Here is an 18,501-nt window from a genome sequence, read left to right as displayed (position 1 = left end):
GTGCTATGAAAAAAAACCCTATAGAGCACTCAAATGTCCATTAGAGGTATCATAGATAAATTGTGGTGCATTCTTTATTTTTTTATTTTTTTTTGAGACGGAGTCTTACTCTGTCGCCCAGGCTGGAGTGCAGTGGATGATCTTAGCTCACTGCAACCTCCACCCTCCGAGTTCAAGCGATTCCCCGGCCTCAGCCGCCCGAGTAGCTGGGATTACAGGCGCCTGCCACTGCGCCTGACTAATTTTTGTATTTTTAGTAGAGATGGGGTTTCACCATCTTGGCCAGGCTGTTCTTGAACTCCTGACCTTGTGATCCACCCGCCTCAGCCTCCCAAAGTGCTGGGATTACAGGCGTGAGCCACTGCGACCAGCCCTGTGGTATATTCTTAGAAAGGAATACTAAGCAGCAGTGACAAAGTGAACATACCATAGTTATGTGCATCAATGTGGCTTAATCATAGAAACAATAATATTTACTTTCGGAGGGCAAAGCGGAAAGATCATTTGAGGCCAGGAGTCAAGACCAGCCTGGACAATATAGCAAGACACTGTCTCTAAAATGTTTTTTAAAAATTAGCCAGTGTGGTGGCACACGGATATAATCCCAGCTACTCAGGATGTTGAGGGAGGAAGATAGCTTGAGCCCAGGAGTTCGAGGCTGCAGTGAGCTATGATTACACCACTACAGTCCATCCTGAGTGACAGAGCAAGACCCTGCCTCAAAAGAAAAAGAAAAACAGACTGGCGCACGGTGGCTCACGCCTGTAATCCCAGCACTTTGGGAGGCCATGGTGGGTGGATCACCTGAGGTCAGGAGTTCGAGACCAGCCTGGCCAACATGGTGAGACCCCGTCTCTACCAAAACTGCAAAATAGGCTGGGCGTGGCGGCTACTTGGGAGACTGAGGTAGGAGAATCTCTTGAACTGGGGAGGTGGAGGTTGTGGTGAGCTGAGATGGCACCACTGCACTCCAGCCTGGGCAATAGAATGAGACTCCATCACACACACAAAAAAAATGTGGCTGGGTGCAGTGGCTCATGCCTGTAATCCCAGCACTTTGGGAGGCCGTGGCAGGTGGATCACGAGGTCAGGAGATCGAGACCATCTTGGCCAACATGGTGAAACCCCGTCTCTACTAAAAATACAAAATTATCTGCACCTGGTGGTGCTCGCCTGTAATCCCAGCTACTTGGGAGACTGAGGCAGGAAATCACCTGAACCCAGGAGGCGGAAGTTGGAGTGAGCCGAGTTTGTGCCACTGCACTTCAGCCTAAGCGACAGAGTGAGACTGTCTCGGGGAAAAAAAAAACAAATACATATGTATGTTGTGCTTAAAGATCTGTCCATGAGGAAGCTAAAGGAACATAATGACTGGCACCATGAGGGTAGAGGTCATATCTGGTGTGGCTGTGATGGCAGAGAAACCTGGGAAGACTCAATATTAACATGTTAATATTTTGATATTTTAATAAGCCATGTTATATTTACTTTTTTTTTGAGACGGGGTCTCACTCTGTCACCCAGGCTGGACTGCAGTGTCACGATCGTGGCTCACTGCAACTTCCACCTCCCGGGTACAAGCAGTTCTATCTCAGCCTCCCGAGTAGCTGGGATTACAGGCGCACGCCACCTTGCGCAGCTAATTTTTGTATTTTTAGTACAGACAGGGTTTTATCATGTTGGCCAGGCTAATCTCGAACTCCCGACCTCAGGTGATCCGCCCGTCTCTGCCTCCCAAAGTGCTTGGATTACAGGCGTGAGACACTGCGCCTGACCAATTTACTTGAATTTTTGTTTCTTTTAAGAGAGAGGATGTTGGCCTGGCTCACGCCTATAATCCAAGCACTTTGGGAGACCGAGACAGACGGATCACCCGAGATTGAGAGTTCGAGACCAGCCTGACCAACGTGGAGAAACCCTGTCTCTACTAAACAAACAAACAAACAAACAAAAATACATAAAACTAGCCGGGCGTGGTGGCGCATGCCTGTAATCCCAGCTACTCGGGAGGCTGAGGCAGGAGAATCGCTTGAACCTGGGAGATGGAGGTTGTGGTGAGCCAACATCGCACCATTGCACTCCAGGCTGGGCAACAAGAGCAAAACTCCCATCTCAAAAGAAAAAGGAGACAGATTTTACTCTGTCATCCAGGCCGAATATAGTTGACATAATCATAATGCAGCTTTGAATTCATGGGCTCAATTGATGCTCCTGCCTCGCTCCCCCAAAGTGCTGGAATTATAGGCTTGTGCCACCTCACTGAGCTAATTTTATTCTTTATATTATATGCATTTGTTAACCTGTTTCACAATAAATAATACTGTGGTAACATCCTGATGAATATATTTTATGTACATTCTAGTTTCACAGCAGTAAAGATTCCTAGTGGTATATTGCCAGGTCAAAGGGGTGTGTGCATTCTAATTTAATAGAGCCTGTGTACTTGCCCTCCAAAACATTCTAGTCTTTAACTCTAGCCATCCTTAAAATTGTTAAATTCTTGGACCTGCCACCAGATAGAAGACTTTTAATATATAATGGCATTAAAAATTAATAAATGGGATTAGTGGGAAGATTTTGTTTCAGACAATTTGATAATAAAGAGGGAATATTAACGATCAGGTAAAAGGAGAGCCAGGCTATTATATTATAAGGTTAAGGACTTAATAAAAAGTTTTAGGCCGGATGCAATAGCTCAGCTTTAATCCCAGCATTCTGGGAGGCTGAGGCATGGGGATTACTTGAGTTCAGGAGTTCGAGACCAAACTGGGCAACATAGTGAGACTTTGTCTCTACTAAAAAACAAAAAATGAGGCTGGAGGAGGTCAAGACTGCAATAAGCTGTGATCATACCACTATACTCCCACCTGGGCAACAGAGTAAGACCGTGCCTCAAAAAAAAAAAGCCAGGCGCCGTGCCTCACATCTGTAATCCCAGCGGTTTGGGAGGCTGAGGTGGACAAATCACTTGAGGCCAGGAGTTTGAAACCAGCCAGGCCAACATGGCAAAACCCTGTCTCTACTAAAAAAAAAAAAAAAAAAAAAAAAAAAAAAAAAAAAATTACCTGGGCATGGTGGCAAACACCTGAAGCCCCAGCTACTTGGAAGGCTGAGGCAGGAGAATTGCTTGAACCCAGGAGGTTGAGATTGCAATGAGCCGAGATAGCTCCACTGTTCTCCAGCCTGGGCGACAAAGATTCCATCTCAAAAAAAAAAGTTTAAAATATTAAAAGCTATTTAAAGTTACATTTTTACTTTTAATCCTGAAGATGAAGGATTACCCAAAGTCACGGTTTTCACATTTGAGGTATTTTTGGCTTTTTAAAAAATTATGATGATTTTTTAGACGGAGTTTTGCTCTTGTTGCCCAGACTGGACTGCAATGGTGCAATCTCGGCTCACTGCAACCTCCACCTCCCAGGTTCAAGCGATTCTCCTGCCTCGGCCCCCTGAGTAGCTGGGATTACAGGCGCCCAGCACCACACCCAGCTAATTTTTTGTATTTTTAGTAGAGGCAGGGTTTCACCGTGTTGGCCAGGCTGGTCTTGAACTGACCTCAGGTGATCCACCTTCCTCGGCCTCCCAAAGTGCTGGGATTACAGGCGTGAGGCACCATGCCCGGCCATTTTTGGCTTTTTAACTGGCAGTCATTCAGACTGTGTGAATTAGTTTGAGTATGCAGGTGTTGGAAAGCAAAGATAAAAGAGTTCATATTGTGTGCTCCGTTTTAAGTTGGTAGACCTCTTCTCTTTTGGAGATTCCCATTACCAATAGCACCAACTAAGTAGGTGGATTCAATATAGATGTCTGTAGGTCTTCACCAGTTCAGGAAGGAAGTTACCAGATGGTTTGAAAATAATGATGCATGCCGGGCGTGGTGGCTAACGCCTGTAATGCCAGCACTTTGAGAGGCCTAGCCGGGCGGATCACCAGTCAGGAGTTCGAGACTAGCCTGATTAACATGGTGAAACCCCATCTCTACTAAAAATACAAAAGTAGCCAGGCTTGGTGGCACATGCCTGTAATCCCAGTTACTTGGGAGGCTGAGGTAGGAGAATCACTTGAACCTGGGAGGTAAAGGTTGCAATGAGCTAAGATCACGCCACTGTACTCCAGCCTGGGCAACAAGAGCGAAACTCCATCTCAGAAAAAAAAAAAATTATGATGCAGCCTGGGTGCAGTGGCTTACACCTATAATCCCAGCACATTGGGAGGCTGAGGCAGGCAGATTGCGTGAGTCCAGGAGTTTGAGACCAGCCTGGGCAACATGGTGAAACCCCATCTCTACTAAAAATACAAAAACTAGCTGAACACGGTGGCACCTGCCTGTAGTCCCAGCTACTTGGGAGGCTGAGGTGGGAGGATCCGTTGAGCCTAGGAGGTTGAGGCTGCAGTGAGCCGAGATCATGCCACTGCACTCCAGCCTGGGCGACAGAATGAGACCCTGTCTCTAAAAAATAATAATGCTAATAATGTTGCTCTTTTGAGCACCTTCCCCTGCAACTTGTTAAAGAATTCTTACATACTCAGGTTTGCTGTCTAGCTATTATAAGTAATTGAAGCAGTGGTATTCTGGAAGAGAAGATTAGAAAAGATGTTAAGGAGAAGGGGAAAGCAGAAACTTAAGGGTAATTTGATAGGCTAAAGTAAATTTTACTTATAGATGTATTTTAAGAAAGTTGATTATAAAGGATTTTTATTTTATTTATTTATTTTTTGAGATGGAGTCTCACTCTGTCACCCAGGCTGGAGTACAGTGGCGCAATCTCGGCTCACTGCAACCTCCGCCTCTCGGGTTCAAGCATATCTCCTGCCTCAGTTGGGACTACAGGCACATGCCACCATGCGTGGCTAATTTTTTGTATTTTTAGTAGAGACGGTTCTACTGTGTTAGCCAAGATGGTCTCGATCTCCTGACCTCGTGATCTTTTCACCTCCAAATGCCAAAGTGGTGGGATTACAGGCATGAGCCACTGTGCCCGGCCCTGAATTGTTTTTGGGTTATATAGACAGTAGGCTGACATGTTTGAAGAGTTTTAACAAGTAAGTAAAACAGGCAAGAGAGAAAGAACTAATAATCTTTTGCAGATATCTGCTATGGGGGAAAAGGTATATAGTGTTCTATAAGTATTGGTACTTTGGTTTAATTTTACATGTTTTTTTTACAGCAATTGGTGCTGAAAATTCAGAAAAAATAGATGAGAATTCAGATAAAGAGATGGAAGTAGAAGAATCTCCAGAGAAAATAAAAGTACAGACAACACCAAAAGTAGAAGAAGAACAGGATTTGAAAGTATGTATATTACTTAATGCAACTTGACAAATTTTTATTATTATTATCATTATTTTGAGACGGAGTCTTGCTCTGTCACCCAGGCTGGAGTGCAGTGGCACGATCTCAGCTCACTGCAACCTCTGCCTGCCTCCTGGGTTCAAGCCATTCTCCTGCTTCAGCCTCCCCAGTAGCTGGGATTACAGGCACGCACCTCAACTCCCAGCTAATTTTTGTATTTTTAGTAGAAACGGGGTTTCACCATGTTGGCCAGGCCGGTCTCGAACTCCTGGCGTTCATGATTCCCCCACCTTGGCCTCCCAAAGTGCTGGGATTACAGGCGTCAGCCACTGCGCCCGGCCCGCCAAATTTTTTTTTTTTTTCTTTTTTTTTCCCAAGAGAGAGTGTTGCTCTGCCATCCAGGCTGGAGTGCCGTGGCCCGATCTTGGCTCACTGCAACCTCTGCCTCCCACGTTCAAGCACTTCTCCTGCCTCAGCCTCCCAAGTAGCTGAGATTACAGGCACCCACCACTACGCCTGGCAAGTGTTTTTTTTTTGTGAGTCGGAGTCTCGCTCTGTTTCCCAGGCTGGAGTGCAGTGGCATGATCTCGGCTCACTGCAAGCTCCGCCTCCTGGGTTCACACCATTCTCCTGCCTCAGCCTCCCGAGTAGCTGGGACTACAGGTGCCCGCCACCACGCCTGGCTAATTTTTTTATTTTTAGTAGAGATGGGGTTTCACCGTGTTAACCAGGATGGTCTCGATCTCCTGACCTCGTGATACACCTGCCTCGGCCTCCCAAAGTGCTGGGATTACAGGCATGAGCCACCGCACCGGGCCCCATTTTTTTTTAATGCCATTTATTAAACTGCTTTCTGTTAACAAGTAGTAAAAATAATCTTTACTGTTTCCAAACCTAAATTGTTTACTTGGTTAGGTGAAAAGATCATATTTAAGTCTGAAATAATTAAGGCTGACTTGATACTGAGAAATTATCTAAAATTCTAACTGCTCAATTGCTTTCTTCAAATTAAGCCTCTTGTTTGAGAAGCAGTAGCTTATAGGCTTCTCTAGTTTGGGAGAAAAGTCACAGATTTAATTCCTGTGTGAAATACTTGTCTTTACACAAAGGCAAATTTAGTTTGAATTGCATTTCTAACCTAATCTCATGGGAGAGTTAGACCAAATAAGTATTAGCTATTTAAGGGTGGTCTGTTGGAAAAACCACTTAACATATTCTTTTGACTTGAAAGAGTATCCAGTTACTAGTTAGGGAACAACCAAGTAGAAGGGACTGGAATAATTAATTTTGTTTCAGGCTTCAGCAGGTGGCTAATATAAGCAATTAATGGATAAATGGCAATTTGACAATATTGGTATTTATATCATTCAGGATCTATTTTTTCCAGCTTTGTTGAGCTGTAGTTGACTATACATATATCTTGCATGTACTATGTCATAATTTGTTATATGTATATATTATGATATGATTATCACAAACCAGGTAAAGTAACTTACATATCACGTTACCTTGGAGAGTTGTCTTGTGTTTGTATGTGGGGATGATACATCAGATCTATACTCTTAACAAATTTCAGGTATTGTTAACTGTAGTCACCATGCTGTGCTTTAGATTTCCTTTTTTTTTGGGGGGGGGGGTGTTGGGGTGATGGAGTCTTGCTCTGTCACCAGGCTGGATTGCAGTGGCACAATCTTGGCTCACTGCAACCTCCACCTCCCAGGTTCAAGCAATTCTTCTGCCTCAGCCTCCCGAGTAGCTGGGACTACAGGTGTGCACCACCATCCTCACCTAATTTTTGTATTTTTAGTAGAGGTGGGGTTTCACGATGTTGGCGAGGATGGTCTCTATCTATTGACCTTGTGATCCACCTGCCTCAGCCTCCCAAAGTGCTGGGATTACAGGTGTGAGCCACCACACCCAGCCCCAAAATTTATTTTATAACTGAAAGTTTGTATTCTTTGACCAACATCTCCCCATATTCCCCTGTCTCCAGCCCCTAGCAACCACCATTCTAATTCTACTCTTTGAGTTTAGCTTTTCAATATTGGGATCCATTTGCAACTATTGAATTCCATGTTGTATTAGAATGCATTATGATGGGCTGGGCACAGTGGCTCACATCTGTAATCTCAGCACTTTGGGAGACTAAGGCAGGAGGCTGACTTGAGACCAGGAGTTCAGGAGCATCCTGGGCAATAGCAAGACCTTTGTCTGAAACAAAATAATTGTTTTGAATAATTTTTAAAATGCATTGTGATTATGTAGATATGCATTTGATTCCTGTCATTATTTGTCACTTTGTTATGTGTATTATGTTACTATAAATTAGAATTTTATATTCTGGATAACTAAATACAGCTGTTTGGGGAAGGCTGTTTATAGGCAGACCCATATTTCTAATATCTATAAGAATAAATGAAGGATTGTACATAATACAGAAAATGTTACGGATTCTAGTTTTACTTTTTTTCTTTTTTGCATTGTAGTTTCAGATTGGAGAACTGGCAAATACCCTGACAAGTAAATTCGAGTTTCTAGGCATTAATAGACAATCCATCTCCAACTTTCATGTGCTGCTCTTACAGACTGAGGTAAGTCTTTTTTTTTTTTTTTTTGGCATAAACAGTTAAGTGTTTGAATGAAATGCTGTATGTGTTAACGATTCTGTCTTGCTTACATTTTAAGCCTAAATTTAAATTTTTAACCTTGAAGAATATTTGAGCCGACAATCCAGGAAATAAAACTGTGTTAACCAAAGCACAGTAAATAGACTTTTTTCTCACAAATTAAAATTATATTATCATGGTCAGATGAGGCCATGTAATGTTGAAGGTACTTTGTAAGTGTTAAAGCATTATAAGTCTGTTTAAAGAGAAAAGTTGAGTCCTATTTGTAACCTGCATACTTTACAAAATGGCAGGGCAGGATTAGGTAAGGAGCTCCTGTAGGAAGCTGACTGATTTTCTTAAGAACTGAACCCTTGGCCAGGCACGGTGGCTCACACCTGTAATCCCAGCACTTTGGGAGGCCGGGGCAGGTAGATCACCAAGGTCAGGAGTTCGAGACCAGCCTGACCAACATGGTGAAACTCCATCTCTACTAAAAATACAAAATTAGCCGGGCGTGGTGGCACATGCCTGTAATCCCAGCTACTCGGGAAGCTGAGGCAGGAGAATCGCTTGAACCCAGGAGGTGAAGGTTGCGAGCAGAGATTGCTCCACTGTACTCTAGCCTGGGCAACAGAGCCAGAGTCCGAGTCCGTCTCTAAAAAAAAAAAAGAACTGAATCCTTAACTGTGATTACTAACAGTACTGGAATAAGTGAACTATCTCCCAAAAAAAGTAAAACTACTGGGGAAACCAATCTTAATAAGTCCAAAAGGGAAGACAAAACTACTACTACTCATTTTCACACATATTGGAGAGTTGGTAGTGTTAAAATATACTGGAGCCCAATTTCATTTTTCAGAACTCTGCTGCGTACTTGGGATGTTTTTTGAGACGGAGTTTCACTCTTGTCGCCCAGGCTGGAGTGCAATGGCATGATCTCGGCTCACCACAACCTCCGCCTCCCGGGTTCAGTTGATTCTCCTGCCTCAGCCTCTCGAGTAGCTGGGATTACAGGCGCCTGCCACCAAGCCCAGCTAATTTTTGTATTTTTAGTACAGACAGGGTCTCACCTTGTTGGCCAGGCTGGTCTTGAACTCCTGACCTCAGGTGATCCACCCGCCTCAGCCTCCCAAAGTGCTGGGATTACAGGCGTGAGCCACCATGCCCGGCCTTAAGATTATTTTATGAGATGAAGATGGGGTTTATTTTCCTCTCTGGTCTACTGTCCTGCCAGAGCACAGGGATATAGTCTTGGAGCAGAAGGTTTATATCCCCTTTGCCTGTGTCTCCTGACATGTAATAATAAGTCTTTAACTTATTTGTCTGTTTATTCTAGACTCGAATTGCAGACTGGCGGGAAGGGGCTCTTAATGGAAACTACCTTAAACGAAAACTTCAGGATGCAGCAGAACAACTAAAACAGTATGAAATAAACGCCACTCCTAAAGGCTGGTCCTGCCACTGGGACAGGTACGCACTCTTCTCCCCTTTTCACCTTTCACCTTTGACATCTCAGACATGATTTGTGATCACCACCATCTGACGACATGACAGCCTGTCTGGAGACTGAGAGCAGCTGCAGTTAGCGGTGCTGGGCAGGCAAAGCACCGCAAGCACAAAGTTTGGCCAGCCACACATTGGAGAAACAAAAGCAATGTTTAAAGTGTTCCATGTAACGGATTTTTTCCCAAGATATGGACAAAGCTGGTTTTTACTCTCCAGAGTGTTGCACGGAGTAGGGCGGGCTTGGGGGTTAAGCGCATGCGAGAGCTCTGTGCGCTTTACAGGACCTCTGGAAGCAACTACTCCTGATTAACCTCGGTGAAGTTAAGGAAAACTTCGTGGCTGAAGATGTGAATGAAGAACAAGATTACTATCCTCTGCCAGCAGGTCAGATGAAAACATTTCTTTATATATTTGGCTTTTCTTGATTTTTTTTTCGTTATTTGAAATCTTTGCTCTTTTATTTTTCAGCTCCCAGATCCTCTCCCTCTCTTTAGCTTTCACTGTGTTTGATATCAAGAATATGAAATGTGAATTCCACGGTCCAAGAGGGGAAGAGTCACCTTTCACAAACTTCGTTGTTCTCTTCTTTGGAAGGGAAATTAGTGTTCTAGGCGATTGAGTCCCTTCATTAATGAAACTTGAAACCCTGTTATGCATTGGCAAATCACAAAAAAAGAGAAAAGTGTTTTCTAAGTCTCATCTGTTGGAGTGAGAGGGTTCAGGGCTGTATTCACAGAGTTGCTGGCAGTGCAAATAGCTTTGAATTATCCTTGGTTCTCCATTCTCAATTGTCAAAGCTCTTTGTTGCCTTTGTGAATAGCAGTCCATTAAGAGGTTCGTCCCTGTGAAAGCAGACTGCTGTCCTGGGACAGGACCAAATGGAAGTGTCTTTGTAGGAGAACGGGTTTTAAAACATGTGTTTTCTTTCTTGTAATTTAGGGATCATAGACGGTATTTCTATGTAAACGAACAGTCGGGCGAGTCTCAGTGGGAGTTTCCAGATGGTGAAGAGGAAGAAGAAGAAAGCCAAGCACAAGAAAATAGAGATGAGACTCTTGCCAAACAGACCTTGAAAGACAAAACTGGCACTGATTCAAATTCAACAGAATCCTCTGAAACTTCCACAGGTGAGACAATTTACCTTGTACTAATTCAGCCAAAATGACTTTAGAGGAAAAATCTTATTAATTTACATTATTAAAAGATTTTATGTCATAATAATATAAGCTTCTGATTGAGAATAGTGGTGTGAACTAAAACAAGGAATGCATGAGTTATTATGGTTGGAAATCAGCATACTATTGTTATCACGTGTAAAACTGTGCCCCAAAGTGAAAAGATAGGCTAACAGATTTTGATTTTAAAAAATTGTTTTATAACCATTCTATCATGCCACTGACTAAGCTGTGGGTCTCCAAAAATAGGAATGCTTGTGCTGAGGAACTAGATAGTTGAACTGTCAATATATGTGGCATGCTGAGATTTGTTATACATTTCTATACAACACTTAGTCTGTTCATATTGCAACCTCATTTCTCACCTCCACTAATCTTACAAAAAGCGTGGTTGGTACAAATCAAAATGATATGAAGAAATGCCATTAGTACTTGTTTCAGAGAAGCAAAATAATTGATCATGAAAAATCACCAGCAATCTTCTGGTCTAAAACAATTGGCAATAGGATGTCTCATTCCATTTTTAAGGTACTCTTGGAAGAATTTAGTTTAGTTACATACATTTTTTAAAAGATAGGCTTTCATGCTCCTCAGTTCCTTTAGTTTTTAAAAAGTTTCCAATGTGTAAAGAAACTTCCACCTGTTAATCTTAAGAATTGGTAGCTATTTGTTAAACTGATGGCATATGAAGGCAAGAGTCTATGAGTCGTTTCTAAAGTAATAGATCTTTGAAAATTTTAAAAAGTGAAATTTGTCAATAACAGAGTTAAGAGCTGAATTCTTTTGTCTAAAACTTATCGAAATTGATGCTTGTACTCTACTGGCTCCCTGATGATAGTAGAAAAGCACTAGTAATGTACCAAATGAAACTGGTTGTGTACCAGATGATTTTGTTAACTTCTTAAATAGCCTAGAAATCGTCAGCAGGTCACATACAACTGCAGTGATAATTTCAGAACATAGCAAAAGGCTGATTTTATTCTACTTCACATTTTAGAAGTGCATTTTCTCAAGTTACAGGGCATTTCACTTCCCTTTTACATGAAGAGATTTTCTTTTGAATATTTTTCCTCTCTTTTGGTAGCAGTGATAGACATGACTAATAATATATTGGTTCTTTTTGTTTGCTTTTTAGCAGTTAATGAACTGAAGAGGCTTGATCGTAGTTCTGGATAGGTGGCTCCACTCCTGACCACTGTCAACATCCCTTATATGTTCCAAAGTTGAAAATTCCACTGTTACCAATTCTGAATGTTCTGTGAACACTTTAGATGAGTATTAAGCTGTTTTCTCCCTTTATGACACACATAGTTGATACTGTCTGGTAAAAGGAGGCTCTTGAGCCATTCCTATTTAATTAAAACAGAACTAGTTGTAGTGTAGGAAAAAGCCACTGATAAAACAGGTTATATTCTTAAGCCTCTCTTTATTGAGAACCCCTAGAATTGCAGGATAAACTTGATCGAAGTAAAATCCAAATCTTAAACTAAGTTCTGTGAGATTTAAGAGCAATAATCAACAGTTCTAAGCCTAATAAAGAGAGCTCTTAATCAGCTCAGTGGTGGTTAAAACCAGCTATCTTTTAAAGAAGAGAAAAAACAAAACACAGCAATGCCCTGTCTCTTCAGAAAATTGTTTTAAAAAGTTAGCCAGGCATAGTTAGTGGCCCACGCCTGTAGTCCGAGCTGTTTGGGAGGTTGAGGTGGGAAGATTGGTTGAGCCCAAGATTTTGAGGCTGCAGTAAGCCATAATTGTACCACTGCACTCCAGCCTGAGCGACAGAGAACAAGACCCTGTCTCAAAAATAAAGTGGGGGAAGGGGTGCAAAATTACACTGTGAGAAGCCAAGAAGTTTCAAAGTTCTATTTATTTTTCTAAGTCATTTTTAATCATTATTTGTTGTTTCAGTGTTTGAATTTAACATTATGTTTTTAAAGATGGAGTGGATTCTAAAGATGAGTTGGGTTCAAGATATCCAACATATCTTTTATATTGGGCTTATGTCACTTAGGTGAAGTTGAGCTCCTTTTTCTTTTTAATCTCCATGGAACAATTTGTATAATTTCTTGATTTAAATTGCTAAACTGAGCTCTTCATTCAAAATACTAAACAATAATTTCTCTTTGGGGGGAAAATTAAGGAAGGCTTTCTATACATAGAAATAAAGATGCCTAGGCCGGGTGCAGTGGCTCATGCCTGTAATCCCAATACTTTGGGGGGCTGAGGCGGGTGGATCACCTGAGGTCAAGAGTTCAAGACCAGCCTGGGCAACATGGTGAAACCCTGCCTCTACTAAAAGTACAAAAATTAGCTGGGCGTGGTGGCAGCTGCCTGTAATCCCAGCTACTCGGAGGCTGAGGCACGAGAATCACTTGAACCTGGGAGGCGAAGGTTGCAGTGAACCAAGATCATGCCATTGCACTCCAGCCTGGGCGACAGAGCAAAACTCTTTATCTAAAAAAAAAAAAAAAAAAAAAGACGCCTACAGAAGCAAGGTTCTTAGGTGCAGTGACTCATGCCTGTAATTCCAGCACTTTGGGAGTTTGAGGCAAGAGGATCACTTGAGCTCAGGAATTCAAAACCAGCCTGGGCAATATGGCAAGACCCCATCTTTGCAGAATATTAGCCTAGCTTGGTAGCACGAGTATGTGGTCCTAGCTACTTGGAAGGCTGAGGTGGGAAGGATCACTTGAGCCTGGTAGGTTGAAGCTGCAGTGAGCTATATTCACACCATTGCACTCTAGCTTGAACAACAAAGTGAGATCCTGTCTCAAAAAGAAAAAGGAAAAATTACAGCTCACGGCTGTAATCCCAGCACTTTGGGAGGCCAAGGCGCGCAGATCACTTGAGGTCAGGAGTTTGAGACCAGCCAACATGGTATCACCCTGTCTCTACTAAAAATACAAAAATTAGCCAGGTGTCGTGGCGGGTGCCTGTAATCCCAGCTACTCGGGAGGCTGAGGCAGGAGAATCGCTTGAACCCAGGAGGCAGAGATTACAGTGAACCAAGATGACACCTCTGCACTCCAGCCTGGGCAACAGGCTTAAAGACTCCGTCTTAAAAAAAAATTAAGAATTTGTATTCTCATAACATATTCAGTTTTAAGCTTGTAGCTTTTAAATCTTTGAGCACGTAATAAAAGCTGCGTAGGCCAAGTGTGGTGGCTCATGCTTGTAATCCCAGCACTTTGGGAGGCTGAGGCAGGAGGATCACCTGAGGTCGGGAGTTCAAGAGCAGCTTACCCAATATGTAGAAACCCCGCCTCTACTAAAAATACAAAATTAGCCAGGCGTGGTCGCATGCCTGTAATCCTAGCTACTCGGGAGGCTGAGGCAGGAGAATCATTGAACCCAGGAGGCGGAGGTTGTGGTGGGCCAATATCACACCATTGCACTCCAACCTGGGCAACAAGAGCAAGAGTCCATCTAAAAAAAGAGCTGTATATACCACTTTAATCTGTCCTTGGGCTTCAGACTTAAATATTCTCTTAAACAGCAAAAATACTAACTAAGTTAAATTTAAAAGCAAGGAGAAGCATCATTGTAATACGACATCCATGTGTATTCAAACTAGAATTTTCTGATGGTCTTCGTAAGATAAAGGAGATAATTGTCATTTCTATGACACAGCTTTTATAATTTGAATAAACTTAGTTGGAGATTGGAGTATTTTTATTATTTATTTTCATGTGAGATGGGTAATGTGCTGACCTCATAACAAAGTTTGAGGGAGACACATTGTATGTGAGAATTTGAAGTGCTTATGAAGTACAAAAGCAGAGGCCAGGTGCTCACATCTGTAATCCCAGCACTTTGGGAGGCCAAGGCACACAGATCACTTGAGGTCAGGAGTTTGAGACCAGCCTGGCCAACATGGCGAAAACCCCTCTCTTACTAAAAATACAAAAATTAGCTGGATGTGGTGGTGTGGGCCTGTAATCCCAGCTACTCGCGAGGCTGAGGCAGGAGAATCGCTTGAACCTGGCAGGCAGAGGTTGCGGTGAGCCAAGATTGCGTCACTGCACTCCGGCGTGGACAAGAGAGTGAGACTCCGTCACAAAAAAAAAAAAAAAAGAAGAAAAGTATTGGATTCACATATTCTAAAAATGCTCGTCATTTGTGGCTAATTTTATCAAGTCTAGTTTAATCTCATATTTACAGAGTTTAGTTAATTCTAATTAGCTTTGTTGGAGGTCATAAACCACATTATTAACCTTGAACCGACTCTGTGTTTACTTGAGTTCCTCTGCATAATAGCATGTCACCACCATCATAAACATGTTGGTATTGCATTATGCTTCTAGAGGAGACATCCACCAATATTTGAAAATCTGGCTGGTCCGAGTGCAGTGGTGTTTACAACTAATTAATCACAACCAGTTACAGACTTTGTTTCTTCTCCAGTCCTGCTGCTTCACTTGACTAGCCTTTTAAAAAAAAGAAAGAAAATAGAGAAAATCTTAACTTATATTTACTTACTGTATGTTGTGATTAGTTTAATAGAAGGGAGTTTAATCCTTAATAATTAAGTTAGTCCTCAACGTTTATTGACTTAGTTCTGATGTAGTCCTTGTGTACTATTGTATAATGTAGACTACTTGGCCATACTTGATTTTGTCTAAAAGTTAATGCATAAATTAATATTAAATATGGCCAAATATAAAAGTTTAATGAGTCATTTGAGGTCATTTAGCCAGAAAACTGCATTTATGTTCCTGGTGAATTTTTTTCAATGTCCTTTTCCAAAAGTGGCAGTAAGCAGCTGTCTTAAAATAAGGAGACAGTGGGAATGATGTTGTTAAAGTCTTTTATACAATGTATTGTCTGTCTGTTCCATAAAAAGTAAAACTACTCTATTCGTGACCAGCTTGGGCAACATAGTGAGACTGTCTCTTTAAAAAAAAAAAAAAAAAAAAAATTAAAAATTAGCAGGTGTGGTGATGCACACCTGTAGTCCTAGCAATTCGGGAAGCTGAGGTAGGAAGATCGCTTGAGCCAAGTGTTTGAGGTTAGAATGAGCTATGATCGCACCACCTACACTCCAGCCTGGGCAACAGAGCAAGACCCAAATGGCTCATGGTTGCTTTGTTTGTTTTACCTTGTTGAGTGCCAGTGTGTATTTTGAGCAAAGCAGTGTAAATGGCCTTCTTGCCCTAGAGTCTTTCATAATTGAGCCTTATTTAATCTACCACTTTTGACCATGAAATTTAACAGGTGACTTCTTCTGGGTATCTACTCCAGGTGAAGTGATATTTTTTTTGACTGAGATGTCTAAAGCTCTTGGATTCCTGGTATCTCACCAGGACATCTTAGTAAAACAGCAAGTATCAGATGAGGAATCAGACTTGAGTTCTAGCTCTGGTCTGGCCACTAACATTGATATGATCTTGGGCAAGTTAGTTCCTGCCTGGGTTTCATTACCTTTAACTGAGGAGGTTGAAATAGATGATTTCTCATGTCTCTTCTACTCCTAAATTCTATGATTTTAGGGAGAAAATCCCCTTCAACATTCCTGGGATATATATCTAATAGTCCCATATATTGTGAAACTTCCCTATTGACGATAAAGAGGGCTGGGGAAGGCTACAAGTAAGTATATCCTATTTTCTCTAATCTTTAAAGGTTTTCCCAGCAGAGAAAAGACAGTAATCAATGATGGCTTTTACAAAGTTTGAGGAAAGCTGATCCTGCAACTTTTCAGCTGCAATTTCGTAATGTAGACTTCAGCAACAGCAATTTCAAAACCACTGCAGTTTTAAAAAATCTGAGTTATATACTTTGAAGATTTATCTTCCTAAATTTCTCTTTTATCGCAAAAGTAAAAATTGCCATCCCTAACTTGTGTCTCTGTGATATCACAAATGAATGTAATGTATGCAAGGGTGTGAAGGAATGATATAGTTGACAGTAGCACCTTGCAAATGGATTTTTTAAATTTAGTAACCCAAATTAAACACAATGGGTAGAACTTTCCCGAGTATTTTGAATGAATATTCTGGGTTGTCTTTACTCACTTTGTCTAGCTCACTAAAAAATAAAGTATGTGTAATAATTACTGCAGGTGCACATTATTCACTCACTCCTTCACTTTTGAAATAGACTCCAGACTATTACCTTTTATTTGTGTATGTTGAAGCTTGTGAGTGTTTGAAATCAAAAACTTCAAACTACAGATTCAGATGACTGCATTTCTCGTTGAGTTGATGTAATATTCTTCTACTCATCCATAAATATGGACCCGAAGGACAAGTATAATACAGATGGGGAAGGTGCTATGAAGTTCATAAATTTATCTTTCCGTGGAAGTCATTTCTGAACTGAGTTGTTCAATATTTTAGCGATATCAGTATAGAATAGATGCCTGTGGGCCAAATTTTTTTCAAGGAAGGAGCCATTCCCTGCTGTTTGACACCACATTCTGTATTGTTTTGTACACTGTGCTAGGTTCCTATAAATGATTATCTTACTGACCAGTTGAACATTTCTATGAATATAAGCCAGGGAGTTTTTTTCTTGCTTTTTCCCTGACTCTTACCTGTTTTCATAGGTTCTCTTTGTAAAGAATCCTTTTCTGGTCAAGTTTCTTCTTCATCACTCATGCCACTTACTCCATTCTGGACCCTCCTTCAGTCAAATGTTCCTGTGCTTCAACCTCCATTACCCTTGGAAATGCCACCACCCCCACCTCCACCTCCAGAATCACCTCCACCCCCTCCTCCACCACCTCCTCCTGCGGAAGATGGTGAGATCCAGGAGGTAGAGATGGAGGATGAGGGAAGTGAGGAGCCCCCTGCCCCAGGAACAGAGGAAGATACCCCTTTGAAACCTTCAGCACAAACCACAGTTGTAACTAGCCAGGTAAGTAATTCCCTTTGGCATTCTGAGTGATTTTGAGGACTGGAACATGATTGACACCATGTTTTATTTTAGAAGCATATGTTTAAAGGCCGGGCACGGTGGCTCACGCCTATATCCTAGACCTTTGGGAGGTCGAAGCAGGAGGATTGCTTAAGCCCAGGAGGCTGCAATGAGTCATGATCTCACCACTGCAGCTTGTGCAACAGAATGAGAGCCTGTCTCAAAAAAAGGAGGTGGGAGCGGGCTATGTTTAACCATGGCCTTCAGCCACTGATAACAAATGTTTGTGTTTCAGAGTTCAGTTGATTCCACCATCTCTAGTTCTTCTTCCACTAAAGGAATAAAGAGGAAAGCTACAGAAATTAGCACTGCAGTGGTTCAGAGGTCAGCTACCATTGGCAGTTCTCCAGTTCTCTATAGCCAGTCAGCTATAGCTACAGGTAATTGTGCATAGAGCGTGGTTTTTCCTCAATGTATTGTTTCTTTTCTTTTCAGCATTAGATGCCATAAAAACTAAAGAAATGTTAAAGGCTCTTGATTGCAAAGACTGTCAGTATGCATTTATTTTACTTAAAAAAAAAAAAAAAACTTTTGACAGTTTAGCTGACCGTGCACAGTGGCTCACACCTATAATCCCAGCACTTCGGGAGGCTGAGGCAAGCGGATTGCTTGAGCTCAGGAGTTGGAGACCAGCCTGGGCAACACGGCAAAAGCCTGTCTACAAAAAAGACCAAAAATAGCCAGGCATGGTAGTCTGCACCTGTAGTCCCGGCTACTCAGGAGACTGAGGTGGGAGGATCACTTGAGCCCTGGAGGTTGAGGCTGCAGTGAGCTGTGATCACACTGCTATACTTCATCCAGTCTGGGCGACAGAGCAAAACTCTGTCTCAAAAACACAAAAAACGTTCAGCACATATGCTTCCAGATTGTCTTGTATATTTATGTACATTGATGATTTCGATGTTTAGGTAGTTTAATGCCAAGGTATTCAAAATTAATATATTTTGCTACCAGCAAATATGGCTATGCTTTTTAGAAAAGGATATATTGGAATCATTTT

At 41.9% G+C, this 18,501-nt stretch overlaps 1 protein-coding gene across 26 annotated transcripts in view; it reads left to right on the top strand.

The window, feature by feature from the left end:
* Positions 1 to 18,501, top strand: part of FNBP4 (formin binding protein 4) — a 50,848-nt gene that overhangs the window by 25,433 nt on the left and 6,914 nt on the right. For 13 of the 26 annotated variants that reach the window (NM_015308.5, XM_047426655.1, XM_047426658.1 and 10 more), the window contains 6 exons: positions 5,169 to 5,293; positions 7,780 to 7,884; positions 9,239 to 9,372; positions 10,348 to 10,535; positions 17,131 to 17,441; positions 17,737 to 17,881. In NM_015308.5, coding sequence (NP_056123.2) covers positions 5,169 to 5,293; positions 7,780 to 7,884; positions 9,239 to 9,372; positions 10,348 to 10,535; positions 17,131 to 17,441; positions 17,737 to 17,881 — 1,008 coding nt within the window. Of the gene's footprint in view, positions 1 to 5,168; positions 5,294 to 7,779; positions 7,885 to 9,238; positions 14,250 to 16,072; positions 16,173 to 17,130; positions 17,442 to 17,736; positions 17,882 to 18,501 lie in introns of those variants that run through there. The other 13 variants (XR_007062466.1, XR_002957136.2, NM_001441112.1 and 10 more) reach the window with 8 other exon arrangements.

Source organism: Homo sapiens, chromosome 11 (assembly GCF_000001405.40).
Source record: "Homo sapiens chromosome 11, GRCh38.p14 Primary Assembly".
NCBI lineage: Eukaryota > Metazoa > Chordata > Mammalia > Primates > Hominidae > Homo > Homo sapiens.
This window is presented reverse-complemented; position numbering and strand designations above follow the sequence as displayed.